Below are 14,179 nucleotides of genomic sequence, written 5' to 3'. Positions count from 1 at the left end.
GTAGGAGAGATGATTGATTTCTTTAAAATTGTAACTGCAAAATATAAAGAGCAAGGTCAATCATCTGAAAAATTCAGGTTGAAAAACTTTCTTGCTGTTTGTTAGTTTCCTTAATTTAGATTGGTTAACCACAGCCTAAATTCACTGAATAATTGTTCATCCATTTTCTTTGTCTTGCCAAAGAAAACAGAGCCACTGTCAATAACCATTAGCAAAAGCATTTGAAAGGTCAGGCTTGAATGTGAATGTGTGGACTTTGTTTGAATCCTGATTCAAATAAAACAAGTATTTTTTAAAAAACTACAAGGTACTCACATAAATGTAAACAACTAAATGAAAATTTGATTATATTAGGAAACTATTTTTTCAGTATAATAATCTCGTGTGTTTTGGCAGTTATGTCGTTGTTTTAAAAGAGTCTTTAATCTTTAGGGCTACACACTGAAATTTTTACTCATGAAATAATATGTCTGAGATTTGGAGAATAGATGAACATAGATGAAACAAGATTGTGTGGCCAGGCTCTGCAACTCATGCCTATAACCCCAGAGCTTTGGAAGGCTGAGGTGGGAGGATCGTTTGAGGCTGGGAGTTCGAGACCAGCCTGGGCAACATAGTGAAACCTCGTCCCTACAACAAATTCAAAAATTAGCTGGGTGTGGTGGTATGGGCTTGTAGTCCCAGCTACTCTGGAGGCTCAGGTGGAAGAATTGCTCGAGCCCAGGAGTTGGAGGCTCTAATGAGCCGTGTTTGTACGCTGAACTCCAGCATGGCCAACGGAGAAAGACCCTGTCTCAAAAAAAAACCAACCAAAAAAAAAAAAAAAAAAAAAAAAAAACAGATGGTGTGTTCATTGTTGACGCCAAGTCATGGGTACATGATGATTCACTATGCAAAATCTCTCTACTTTGCTATATGCTTGAAATGTTCCATAAATTTCAGGCACATACAAAGTTTGTTTGAAATCATTAAAAATGAAAAGAAAGGAACATCAGGTCTCTTTGGCCTGTGCTTGCTGCAGATTCCTCACCAATTGGCTATTATTTCCTCTGATAGTATCATTTATTTATGGCAAAAAAGATCTCTCAATTGTGGTCCATGGATTTCTAGGGTGCTTGTAAATGGGCTTCAGAGGATCTGTGGGAATATGTGTGAATGTGCACTTTTCTTGGGAGAGGGTCCATAACTTTCATCAGATTCTCTCACAGGGGCTTGTGACTCAGAAAAGATTAGAATCCTGAGAAACACATTATATAAGCTTAAGAAAAAGGAAAGGAAGGAAGGAAGAAAGGAAGGAAAAAGCCCTATTTCTGAGTATCCTCTTTTCTGAACTTCCTCTTAGTTCACTGATAATGACCCACTACGTAAATGTGAATTGACTTGAGTGCCTACCTCAAGGACTAGATAGATAAAAAGAACTAAGAGGGTTAAATACACATTAAAATGCTGAAATTGCAAGGCAAGGCTTGAGAAAGAAAGCATTGTCATGAGCCTTGAAAAATGAATGAATTATAACTGAGTAGCAGACCAGATTCTCACTTACAGTAAATGGAAATTAAAAGGCACGGGCAGAGCTCAGTCTTACATAATGGCCCCAGCTCCTGGAAGCAGCCACAGAGGCTACAGGGAACAGGGAAGGTGGGGAGCAGAGCCCACCTCAAGCTCTCTCTCTTAACACACTTCCCCTGAGGCTCCTCTCTGGACCTGCGTGGTGGTGGACCTGCCCAAATGAATCCCACCTCCTTTCCTGCAGTAGGTCTCAGACTTTTTACCTCAAAGAACCCTTTCATCTTTTTCAGTGTTTTCAGAGAGTACATACATTAACATTCTACTTCACTCCCACCACTATCCCTGCCAAGACCCCCCCCAAAAAAGTCAAGTGTTTATTGAGTTCTAATACATTCAACCATTTCAAAATCAATAAATATAGAGATGATTTCCAGAGTTTTTTGTTTGTTTGTTTGTTTTGAGACAGAGTCTCGCTCTGTCACCAGGCTGGAGTGCAGAGGCGCCATCTCAGCTCATCGCAACCTCTGTCTCCTGGGTTCAAACAATTGTCCTGCTTCAGCCTGCCGAGTAGCTGGGACTACAAGCACGCACCACCACGCCCAGCTAATTTTTGTATTTTTAGTAGAGACTGGGTTTCGCCATGTTCGCTAGGATGGTCTCTATCTCCTGACCTCGTGATCCACCCACCTCGGCCTCCCAAGGTGCTGGGATTACAGGTGTGAGCCACCACACCCAGCCATTTCCAGGGTTTCTTTTTTTTTTTTTTTTTTGAGGCGGAGTCTCGCTCTGTCGCCCAGGCTGGAGTGCAGTGGCGCCATCTTGGCTCACTACAAGCTCTGCCTCCCAGGTTCATGCCATTCTCCTGCCTCAGCCTCCCGAGTAGGTGGGACTACAGGCGCCCGCCACCACACCCGGCTAATTTTTTTTTGTATTTTTAGTAGAGATGGGGTTTCACCTTGTTAGCCAGGATGGTCTCGATCTCCTGACCTTGTGATCCTCCCACCTCGGCCTCCCAAAGTGCTGGGATTACAGGCGTGAGCCACCGCGCCTGGCCCATTTCCAAGGTTTCTAATCAGCAAACCGAGGTAATACACTTATATACCTCACATTGTGTTTTACATATGTTGCCTCACTTAATCCTCAAAACAGTTCTAAATTGAGGCTAAGATCTCACAAAAGCTAAGTGAGATAAGAACTCTAATCAAGTCTGTGTTCCTTACTAACATTAGTAAGTCAGTATGCTAAGATTGCCAAAAGCAAAGAACCTCACCATTTAGTCAGATGGACTAATCATGGATTAATGCCCACAGTAAGAATAGCTTAAGATCCACATTATTACCTTCTTAAATCCTTGGCGCTCCAGAACCCTGCACCCCAAACTGCCCTTTACTGACCAGACCTCCAATAGTTCTTCATCTCCTTATTCACTTCCATCTTCCTCTTCATCCAGCAGAGCCTCAGAATGCTGGCCCTTTGGGGAGTCCATCACCAAATCTGACCCACGGGTCCCCAACTCTCCAATGCCCTCAAATACTTTCTTACTGAATGAAAACACCCTATAGCCACAAAAAAAAAATTCCACAAGGACTCATGCAGCTGTTCCAGACTTCCTCTTCTCAGTGGCCATGAGCTCCTGAATACCCATGAGCTTCCCATTCTAACCCTTCAGCAGCCTGCTAGGGGCCTAAAATTCCAAAATGGCTCTGGCTTCTCAGTGATTCTTTTGCTGAACCCCACTTGGAGTCACTCCTGTTCAGTATAGGTTACACTGTGATAGATTAATAGTCCTCTAAAGAGATGCACATCCTAATCCCTAGAGTTTGTGAATATGTTCCCTTATAATGGCAAAGAGGAATTAAGGTTGGAGACGGAGGTAAGGTTGCTAATCAGCTGATCTTACAATAAGGAGATCATCCTAAATTATGAAAACCATTATGTAATCTCAGTGTAATAACAAGGATCCTTAACGTGAAAGAGAGAGACAGAAGACTAGAGTCAGAGAAAAATGTGATGACAAAAGCAGGTTCTGAGAGATGCTATGTTTCTGGCTTTGGAGATGGAGGAAGGGAACTATGAGCCAAGGAATGCAGGCAGTCTCTAGAAGATGGAAAAGGCGAGGAAACAGATCCTCTCCCAGAACCTCCAGAAAGAAACAGTCCCGCCAACACTTTGATTTTAGTCCAGTGAGACCTGTATCAGATTTCTGAACTATAGAACTGTAGGATAAATTTGTGTTTTTTAAGCCATCAAATATGTGGTACTTTGTTATGGCAGAAATTGAAAACCAATACATATATTATGACTTCCTGACTACCAAGACCAGGACCAGTAAACTTGTTACTACCTATGGGAAACAACCAACCTCTCCATTATCTAAGATCTGTTGCTGTTACCTGGCAGCAGATTTAGAATAGACACAATTGCTTTTCTGTGTCCTGATTACTACCATGACCCTGTCTACCCTGCCAAGGCAAACCATGAGCTAAGACGATTATCTACAGATTTTGAAGGAAGTAAATTTGCAGTCCGAATTGTCCCCAGTTCTCTGCTCAAGTCTCTGCTTGACAAGTCTGCCCACATCTCTCCTACTGAAGCTCTCTAGCAGATCTGGGAAAACCAGATAAAAAGAATGCCCACAGGTTCCCCAATTCTCTCACATGGAAAGAATACCTAGTATGTGTGAGGAGAGGGTGGAGGGGTATGTGCAATGTAGTGAGAGGAGAAACTGCTATCTACAGTTGATACTTTTGTTAAATAATATGAGCAAATATTTACTGACTGCTTACCATAAACTGGCTATGACCCTCAGAAAAGTTGACGCACTCCCTGTAGAGCCATTCATTCATTCGCTCAGCAAATATTTACTGAGCTCCAACATGTGCCACAGTCACTGGGCACTAGAATCCAGGTCTCCTTCAGAACTCTTGTCTTAGAGCTTTTTCAGGTCCATCATAAGACATGGGGTGTAACTCTACTCCTATCAGCCATGTTTCTCAATTATCACCCACTTACCAGGGTTTATTATTGTGAAGATTTCTGCAAAATTTTCCATTCTGAGCAGGCCTGATCCACATAAAAGCCTTGGTAATTGCCCAAATTCACTTGCTTCCCCATCCACCATTTTCACCCTCCCTGAACTTTCCTTCAGTCCCCAGCACCACTTGGCTCAAATGCTGAGAGTTCCAATCTCACCAGTTTTCTCTTTCAACACTTCCTTCTGCTTGTTCTGAAAGTGCTTATCAGGAGAACTGTGAAGATACCAGGTGTCCCCAGTTCCAATCCAAAGTAGGGGCTTTCCTTAAAGCTTTCTGACTTCCTTCCTCTATTACTACCCCCTATGAAAAGCTCATTGACTCTTAAAATTTCAATAACCGGCTGGGCGTGGTGGTCATGCCTATAATCCCAGCACTTCAGGAGGCCGAGGGGTGAGGATCGCTTGAGACCAGGGATTCAAGACCAGCCCAGGCAACATAGTGAGACTCTGTCTCTATAAAAATTAAAATAAAAAAAAATAGCTGGACATAGTGGTTCATGTCTGTAGTTCCAGCTACTAGGGAGGCTGAAGTGGAAGGATCACTTGAGCCCAGGAGGTCGACGCTGCAGTGAGCTGAGATCACACCACTGCACTCCAGCCTGGGCAACAGAGTGAGACCCTGTCTCAAAAATAAATAAAAATTCCATAAACACCTTCAGAGATCTCATCAAAATGATGACTAATGTAGGTCTTCATTAACTCATCCTGAATTATACCAATGGCCTCCTAGCTGGCCTCCCTCATTGCAGTCTCTTCCCATCCTGCCTTCCCAAACACTTAGTGAGTGCTTATTCAGAGACAGGTACTGTTATAGGCAACAAAGACACAGCCACAGTAATGCACAGTGATTAAGGGCACATCCTTTGCAGAGATGCAGCCCTGGGTCTGGCAGGGCCACAAGCAACCCTGGCACTTAGAATTACTTAACCTCTCTATGCCTGGCAGAGTAGCTCATGCCTGTAATCCCAGCACTTTGGGAGGCCGAGGCAGGTGGATCACCTGAAGTCAGGAGTTTGAGACCAGCCTGGCCAACATGGTGAAACCCCATCTCTACTAAAAATACAAAAAAATTAGCTAGGGGTGGTGGCAGGCGCCTGTAATCCCAGCTACTCGGGATGCTGAGGCAGGAGAATCACTTGAACCTGGGAGTTGGAGGTTGCAGTGAGCCGAGATCATGCCATTGCACTCCAGCCTGGGCAACAAGAGTGAAACTCCATCTCAAAAAATAAAAAATAAAAATAAAAATAAAAGAATTACTTAACCTCTTTATTATCTTTGTTTTCTCATTTGGAAAACAATAATAAAGTTCCATAATTCTCAGGGTTATAGAGAGCATTAAGTGAGATAATGCATGAAAAACACTTAGCATAGTGCCTGGCACATGGCAAGCATTCAATAAAAGTTAACAGTAACAGCAAATGGAGCTGTCAGGTGAGCAGCAGAGATGAATATGTATATTCCACAAGTCAGGGTTCACGGAAGATAGTACTTGGTAGGTGTTGTGAGCAGGGGAGAGTGAGTGACGAATATAATAGAATGATATGGAGCCAGACCTTGAAGGTTAAAATGGAATATTCTTGGCGGAGAGGAGGGGAAAGATTTTCCAGCTTCAACGCCTGAGCAAAGGCACAACATAGAGGGAAGAGATGTTGTGTAATGAAGTAATGGCCATCTGTCACTCTGTGCCAATCCTGACTAGACCTTGAGCTCCTTAAGGGGAGGCATCTGGCTTTGGATACGGGAGAGCTGCTCATTCACTTATGCAATTGAGCACCAATTTTATACCAGGCACTGTGCTAGGTGAGAAGATTTTCTGCTTGTCCCCTGCCCTCAAGAAGCTTCTAACTGAGATGATAATAAACAAGAAACCAAAAGAAGAATATTTCAGGTAAGTCATATGTTATAAGAAAATAAAACAGGACCATCTTAAAGAGAGTGACTGGGATGAAGGTTCAGAGAAAGCCACTCTAAGGAAGTGACATTCTAGTTGAATCATGAGAAGGCCTGGGTAAAACAGCATCCTGGGCAGAGGGAATGACAGGCACAAGACCCACCTGAGGTATGCAAGACTTACTGTATTGAAGAAACAGAAAGCCAGAGGAGGTGCAAGAAAGAGAGTGGAGGAGAGGCAGTCCTGGGAGGGTGGACAAGAGCCTGATTGTATTCAGGCTTGGTAGGCCATGATAAAGAGTTTGGATTTTATTCTAAAAGGCACCAGGAAGCCACTGAAGGGTTTCAAGATAAGATGTGACATGATCTGATTTGTGTTTTTAAAAGCTCCCTGTGGCTGCCATGTGGAGAGTAGTCTTACAGAAGGGCAAGAAAGAAAGCAGAGGGAACTGTTAGAAGGCTAGGACAGTAGCTCACATCTTCCAAAACAGCACAGCCTTATGATATTTAGAGGTGATGTCTGGAACCTCTCTGTTTACATCAAGTTACACAATCTGCTCACTTTACAAGGCCCATCTCCACACAGCCTAGTTAGCACATAGAAGGTTTAATTGGTCATTGCCAGTCAGTTGACTGTCTCTCCCCCAAGTCATCCCCATTTCCTTTCCTCCTTCTACCCTCATTCTCTTTTCCTCCCTATCTCTCAAATTTCCATTTGCCTATTACCTGACTCCAGCCTTCATGAGGTCCTACTGTTCCCATTGTATTCCTTTTCTTCTCCTCACCCTACCACCCAAGAAAGTTTCACAAACTAGATATAAAGGAGATATTTTCTATCCTACTCCAGAAGTACTCAAGAATTACTAATTTCACAGAACACTAACAGAAACCTAAGGGTCATGATGCCCTCAATAATATAACCTGTAAACATTCTGCATGTTAAGGACACTGTATCCTCACATCCATTCCAACCTATTCTCCCCACTGCAGCCAAAGAAATCTTTCAGTAGGAAAATCTGGGCCGGGCACGGTGGCTCACGTCTGTAATCCCAGCACTTTGGGAGGCCGAGGCGGGCAGATCACGAGGTCAGGAGATCAAGACCATCCTAGCTAACACGGTGAAACCCTGTCTCTACTAAAAATACAAAAAATTAGCCGGGCGTGGTGGAAGGCGCCTGTAGTCGCAGCTACTCCGGAGACCGAGGCAGGAGAATGGCGTGAACCTGGGAGACGGAGCTTGTAGTGAGTGGAGATCGCACCACTGCACTCCAGCCTGGGCGACAGAGCAAGACTCCATCTCAAAAAAAAAAAAAAAGAAAAGAAAAAAAAAAGAAAATCTGTTCATGATCTCATTTACTCTCTCATGCCCTCTCTCTCTCTCCCGGTTAGGAGAGACCCCCTCTCTCCCCTTTCCCCTCTACTTAAACCCCTTCAGTGGCTTCCCCTTGTTCCTCAGATAAATGTCAACTTCCTCAGCATGGGCTCCAAATGGCCCTGTGTGTTATAACCCCAGAACACATCTCATATACCATTCCCCTCATCGCTCCTTGTTGCTGCACCACACTGGCCTCATTTCAGGTCTCTAACCAGGTGTGTCCCCCTCTGCCACAGGTCTTTTGTGTAGCTGTTCTCTTTGCCTCTCAGGCCCTGTGATCCCCCTCTTCCCTCAGTTAACATTTATTCATCCTTTAGCTCTTTGCCCAGATTTTCTTCCTTAGCAAAATCTTCTCTGAGACCATGTCTGGAACCACTGTTATACACGCTTATGGCACTGCCTATCTTTCTTCAAAGCATTTATCACAGTTTATGATATTTATTTGTGTGATATTTGATTAAAAATAGTACTTCTCCCCTCCCCCACTAAATGATACGCTCCAGGAGGGCAAGAACATTGCCTATTTTTTCTTACCATTGTATCCCAAACAGAGATTGAATACATTTAATAGGCTTTAAGGGGGTTAGATATGCATTTTCCAAAATCTTAGATATTGTTCTTTTCAGACAGAGCAAGGAAAGAAGGATGTATCTTCTATTAATTGTAGCAAACTATTAACCAGGAAGAAGAGGAGAGAGTCAGTGTCTGATACTCATTTTGTTGCAAACTCAGGATATTTTCCCTGCCTCCTCGGGGAAACCATCCCTGAGGTCAACATGGCACTTGTTTCCAAGACGTGTCATCCTTCCTGAGATGGCCCATTACCCTCTTCAGAGCCCTGTACTTCAGACTTGCCTCCTCTTCCAACCCTCTTTCCAAGGCAGAAACCACACCATCTGATTGCACAGGAAACGGGGAGTGAGAATTCAATGGGCTGCCACTCATTCACTGAGTGTCACACAATAAACATTACTCCACAAAGCCCTTTCACAAACAGCACTTCGTCTGATCCTCAAAACAACCCTGTGAAGCATGCAAAGCAGACATAACTATTCCCATTTTAATAGCTGGGGAAACTGAGGTTCAAAGAGGCAAGTGACTTACTCAAGGTCACAAAGTTTGTGTGAGGCAGAGGTAGGATTTCAAACTACAGACTCTAACACTTAGTCCAATGCTTTTCCTTACATTAGCCGCCCCAACAGTTCCAATACCAGTTACTTAACCTTGGTTTTTTAATTCCCTTAAATAAGCACCTGTTCCTGACCCCTCCACACATCCTCAGCCCAGTTTGCAGTCCCTACCCAGAAGTTTTCAGGTGTCTGTTCAATGGGGCAGAGGGAGTCACAAACCGGGTCACCCTATCAGGGATTGGTCCCAGCCTCCAGAGTCTTTTCTGGCTTTTCCTCTGAACCACTGAGGAACCAGAAACCCCCAGAAATAAAAACACAAAGAGAAGACGTGCCCCACCAGAGCAAGGTCCCTGCTACCCTTTCTGCCCACGTTCTGGCAGGACAACGCGAGGCCAGACGCCGGCCCCTTCCAACAGAAAGACGCGAGGAGAACAAGAGGTCGCCGCCCGCCGGCTGTCAGGGCTCCTGGGCGGGCGGCGCAAGGGATGCGGCAGAGATGGGCCAGATCCCAGGTTCGGCCCAAGGTCACTCTCTCGCAGCCCTGGCCTGGTCCCCAACCGCCCGGAGCGCCCCCTGGTGTCCCGGGCTGGCCTCCCCTCGCCCTCAGGGAGCGGCCTGGGAAGCCTGGGCTCGGGGGCAGAAGGAAGGAGGGTGGGCAGAGGATGAGGAGGCTGCGCCCCGGGGAGGAGCGGGAGGCGCGGGAGGCGGGGCCCTACCTGATAGCTGAGGACGCCGTCCGGCTCGTTACTCCCGGCGGCCGGCATGGCGGAGCCGAACTAGGTCTCCCCCACGGGCTCCAAGCCAAGCATCAGCAGCCCGCGCCCTCTGGTCGGGTCTGAGCAGATCACTCGAACGGCGACCCCCACCCCGGAGCCAACGGTCAACCATCAACCGCCGCCGCCTCCATAGCCACCGGCCCGCGAGGCATCCGCCGCAACCAATCAGCGAGAGGCCTGCGCAGCCAATCAGGGCGCGGAGCACGGGAGGACGCTGTCCGGCGGTACCCTGGGCTACCGCGGGGAGGGGGAGGAGCCGGGGAGCCAACCGCTCCCGGGCCCGGTTGCCTTGGAAACCGCCTCCCTCCCTTCAGGGGCCTCTGGGCGTGAAGGTCCTTCCAACTGCTTGCTAGAAAATCTCTGCTTCTATTTGCAGCTGCACCTGACCCTTGAAAACTGGGAAAGTGTCGGTTTTGCCTATTCTGATTTCATTCCTTGGGAGATGATGTTTAAATTCCGGGCAAACATCCTTCGCGATTGCAGGAGGAGGTAATTGCGGATGAGGGGAGAGGGCCTTCTAAAATTAATTGTTTTTCCTTGAGCTAATGGCCAGATTAAAGAGCATTAAATTGAAGAAGGCAGGCAGTGTCAGGCTCCCTCACAGTCTCACTATGACTTAGGTCTTCTTCTTGAGTCTCAAGTCAGAAGCAAAACACACGGACAGGGTCGAGCTAAGGATGACTGTTGAAGCAATTCCACAAAAAGGCTTCGAACTTTTCCAGGAAATGATCTAAGGCAAACTATTATTTAGCAACAGAACTACTGACTTAACACAAGGTTAGAATATCATGAATAATGCATTAAATTTGATTTGGATTTATAAGAAAAGAGAGGCTGGCTAAAATCGAAGCAACCCTCTCTCCTCAAGAAAAAGAAAGGTACCTTTTGGGTTTTTTTTGTTTTTTTTTTGTTGTTTTTTTTGTTTTTTTTTTTTTTTTGGAGACGAAGTTTCACTCTTGTTGCCCAGGCTGGAGTGCAATGGCGTGTTCTTGGATCACTGCAACCTCCGCCTATCCAGTTCAAGCGATTCTCCTGCCTCAGCCTCCTGAGTAGCTGGGATTACAGGTCCCCACCACCACGCCCGGCTGATTTTTTTGTATTTGTAGTAGAGACGGGGTTTCACCATGTTGGCCAGGCTGGTCTGGAACTCCTGACCTCAGGTGATCTGCCCGCCTCAGCCACCCAAGGTGCTGGGATTACAGGCGTGAGCCATGGCACCCGGCCGTGGGGCCTTTTGTTTTATATGCACTATCATACCAGACTTCAGGTAGGTCCAAATTGGGGTCAGGGGAAGAATTGTTGCAAATAATTCTCAGCCCCTAAAGAAGCTACAGTTGGGGAAGGTAGTCTGATACATGTTAAAACTTTCCACCCCTGCTTACCATCCTTTGTGTTGGTCCTGAAATTGGAAACAAGGTTGGGCTTCAGTATCCCTGAAGCAGAATTGTATTTCTGATGTCCTGTATAAGCCTCCTGTCTAGTCTCTGCGTTTTAGTGTTCATTGCCACACACTCCATCAATCTCTTTACTAATCCTGTCATCTTGAATCTGGAATTCACATCCTACCCTCATCCCCATTTTTGTCCATCAAAATCTTAACCATCCTTCAAAGTTAATCTCAAAAGCCACCCTCTTCCAAGAAGCCTTTCTTTATTCTACTGTCCCTGATACCCCTAACAGATGTCATCTCACCCTCCCCAGAATTCTCAAGGCACTTCATACCTTTCTTATAGCAGTTGTCATGCTGTGGTTATTTAAGTACTTTATATGTTGACTTTAGCTTACTAAAATATTATAAGTTCTTTGAAAGCAATGATTATTTTTCTTATGCCCTTCTGTATACTCAACAGAGCCTCAACCAATCCCAGGCACATAGAAAGTACTTAGTAAATATGAATGCTTTTAATTCAATCTAATAAAAAATGTATTGAACACCTACTAATGAACAGGCCCAAGTAACACTGTAGAGGCAGAGAAATCTAAAATATATATCTCCAAGGGAGCTTAACAGGCTTATCAGGGAAACAGGGTATATGTTAATGAGTAATATTATATAAACCATGAAGATTGCAAAAATTCAGAAGAGAAAATGATCTTCAGGAAGGTTTCACAGAGGACATGGATTCGAGCTAAGTCTGAAAACATGGGTAAGATTTAGCTGACCCAAGGTAAGAAGAGCAAGCATCTCAAGTCTTAGGCAAAGACTTAAGAATAATAATGCACATGGCCCATTCAGGGTAGCCACAATTTGGGCCAAAGCAGAAAGTTATTGAGAAGAGCAGTGGGAGGTAATAGTTGTGATAGAGAAAGGCTGTGGGCTGGGCATGGTGGCTCACACTTGTAATCCCAGCACTTTGGGAGGCCAAGACAGATGGATCCCTTGAACCCAACAGTTCAAGACCAACTTGGGCCAACATGTAGAAATTCCATCTCTATTTTTAAAATACAAAAAAATTAGCCAGGCATGGTGGCATGCACCTGCAGTCCCAGCCCCTCAGGAAGCTGAAGTGGGAGGATCACCTGAGCCCAGGAGAGGCTTCAGTATACCACTCCACTCCAGCCGAGGTGACAGAGTGAGACCCTGTCTCAAAAAAATAAAAAATAAATAAAATAAAAGGCTGTGATCAAATTGTGGAGATCTGGCTAATTCATTCAGACTTTATTTTTCTTAAATGATAAAAAGCAGGACGCTGAAGGCTTTAGGGAAAACTTCCACACACCAGAACCTGGGTTTAGTGGTATAAATGCATTGTGTCATTTAATAGTCATAATGTCTCTACTCTTTTTCTATTTCACAGGTAAAAAACTGAGGCTCAGTGAAGTTAAGCAACTTACTCAAGGTCAGGCAGTCATGAAGCTGGGATTCCATCATTCATCTATTAATTCAAAACACTTTTGCTGAGAACCTATGTATCGTGCCCTATGTTAGGTGTTGGGAAAACAGCAATTAAGACAGTGTCCTTGGCCTCATAAGCCTTACAATCAAGTGGGAGAAAGTAAACAAGTCATCAAACAAGATAACCGCTAGTTATAATCACTACTGTTAAGTAAATAAAGAGTTATGTGATCAAGAGTAACTGGCATGGGATAGGGAGAGCTTCTCTGAGGAGGTGGGGAAAGATTCACCTGAGGAGACGAGTCAAGAACAAGCTCTCTGATTCTAGAGTTCTTGACCACTATGTTGTATTGGCCTATAAAAATTGTACCATCTCCAAAATCTGCCCTTAGGGGAGAATGGATTAGAGGGGGAAACCTGAGGCAGGGCGTCAGAAAGACTGACTCTAGCAACGTGGTAATTCAGGAGCCGAGGATGGTGGCCAAAGGAAAGATGTGCCCACATCCCCCACTCCCCTGGAAGGCAAGTCCCAGCCATGGCAGAAGTGGAGTAGGTAGGGTAGGGAAAGGAATTGAGAAGTAGTGGTGATTCCTGGGAGGACTGGTGGATCTGACTTCTCTCCAGTACAAATGTGGAAAAAGTCAGAGCCTCTGGCCCTTGACTCCAGGGTCAAGAGCCCCATCTTCTGGCCTATTGTGCAAATTACAAAAGGAAGTAGGCCACAGAGGCAGCAGCTAAGGCTGCTGCTATCTGGGGCACTGCAGAAGACAGGCTCTATCCTCCCAGGGATGATTTGGTCTCTCCTTCCCAGAAAAAGCTGGTTCACTTGGCTCTAAGCACGAGGCTCCTAACATCTACTGCTCCTTACCCTGGTTGGAAAAGCTCAAACACATGGCTCTCAGCCTGGCTGGAAGACAAGTCCTAGTGGAGCTGGGGGTATTCAGCCAAGGACATCACCTCACACTGATTATTTTTCTAAAGAAATCAGAAAAAAACAGCAGAACAGAATTCAGAGCCTTCTTGAATCTTCAGTCAGCCCAGAAAGAGGCATAAAGTGGACAAGAAAATGGAAAATACATGTGTAGAGGCAGAGACAACACATGCACACACACACACACACATCATACCAATAGGGAGGCAGAGAGGCATGCTACATGGATAGCCTCACTTCATCCTTGCAACAACTCTGAGGTAGGCACTATCATCCCATTGTATAGATTAGAAAACTGAGGCTTGGAGAGGTAACTTCCCCAGGGCACACAGCCAGCACAGTTAATAGATGGAGACACTAGACTGTGAGCTCAGATGAAATGATTCCACAGTGCATGAGCTTCACCACCCTACTGTCTCCCATGGGGATGCCTGGGAATTTCATCCTTCTCTAACTTTCATAGGCTCCACTCTTTCTTTGTGGCTTCCTGACGTGGCCATCCTTCCAGATTTTGTTTTAGACCTATTCTTTCTCTTCTATAATACCAGTGGTTCTTAAACTTTGGGGAAAGCGGTGGGTCTTGAACTCCCTGGAGACATTATAAAATCTGTGGATTCTCTTTTTCAGATAAGTAAACAAAGCCCAAAATTTTGCATATAATTGTAAGGATGTGTTCATAGACTTCTCAAGGAAGCATG

At 45.1% G+C, this 14,179-nt stretch overlaps 1 protein-coding gene and 1 long non-coding RNA gene across 16 annotated transcripts in view, besides 4 other annotated features; one reads left to right on the top strand and one right to left on the bottom strand.

Moving 5' to 3' along the window:
- Nucleotides 1-14,179, bottom strand: part of SLC4A8 (solute carrier family 4 member 8) — a 124,318-nt gene that overhangs the window by 81,074 nt on the left and 29,065 nt on the right. For 7 of the 13 annotated variants that reach the window (NR_047672.2, XM_011539010.2, NM_001039960.3 and 4 more), the window contains exon 1: nt 9,655-9,859. The exons of 5 other annotated variants lie outside the window; for them this stretch is intronic. Coding sequence is in view for 6 of the 8 variants with exons in the window: in XM_011539010.2 (XP_011537312.1) it covers nt 9,655-9,702 (48 nt within the window). In the remaining 2 variants the exon portion in view is untranslated. Of the gene's footprint in view, nt 1-9,275; nt 9,574-9,654; nt 9,860-14,179 lie in introns of those variants that run through there. One more of the 13 variants, NM_001258403.2, reaches the window with a different exon arrangement.
- Nucleotides 1,486-1,986: an enhancer, noted in NCBI's record as "H3K27ac hESC enhancer chr12:51826488-51826988 (GRCh37/hg19 assembly coordinates)". NCBI's record gives its function as "activates a minimal SCP1, AML or CMV promoter by ChIP-STARR-seq in primed H9 embryonic stem cells {active_cell/tissue: H9 hESC(primed)}" and the evidence as "EXISTENCE:reporter gene assay evidence [ECO:0000049][PMID:30033119]".
- Nucleotides 9,241-9,300: an enhancer, noted in NCBI's record as "active region_6382". NCBI's record gives its function as "activates an Ori minimal core promoter by ATAC-STARR-seq in GM12878 lymphoblastoid cells {active_cell/tissue: GM12878}" and the evidence as "EXISTENCE:reporter gene assay evidence [ECO:0000049][PMID:35858748]".
- Nucleotides 9,362-12,791, top strand: SLC4A8-AS1 (SLC4A8 antisense RNA 1). 3 transcript variants are annotated; one of them, XR_001749147.2, is made up of 3 exons: nt 9,362-9,450; nt 10,091-10,203; nt 12,513-12,791. It is a non-coding gene; the product is annotated as an SLC4A8 antisense RNA 1 (long non-coding RNA). The 3 variants fall into 3 exon arrangements; XR_007063309.1 differs by lacking the exon at nt 9,362-9,450 and adding an exon at nt 9,840-9,938; XR_007063308.1 differs by lacking the exon at nt 9,362-9,450 and having other exon boundaries at nt 10,001-10,203.
- Nucleotides 9,411-9,620: a silencer, noted in NCBI's record as "silent region_4469". NCBI's record gives its function as "represses an Ori minimal core promoter by ATAC-STARR-seq in GM12878 lymphoblastoid cells {active_cell/tissue: GM12878}" and the evidence as "EXISTENCE:reporter gene assay evidence [ECO:0000049][PMID:35858748]".
- Nucleotides 9,891-10,100: a silencer, noted in NCBI's record as "silent region_4468". NCBI's record gives its function as "represses an Ori minimal core promoter by ATAC-STARR-seq in GM12878 lymphoblastoid cells {active_cell/tissue: GM12878}" and the evidence as "EXISTENCE:reporter gene assay evidence [ECO:0000049][PMID:35858748]".

The sequence above is a fragment of the Homo sapiens genome, chromosome 12 (assembly GCF_000001405.40).
Source record: "Homo sapiens chromosome 12, GRCh38.p14 Primary Assembly".
Taxonomy (NCBI): Eukaryota; Metazoa; Chordata; class Mammalia; order Primates; family Hominidae; genus Homo; species Homo sapiens.
The sequence above is the reverse complement of the archived record's forward strand: the minus strand, read 5'-3'. Positions and strand labels throughout refer to the sequence as shown.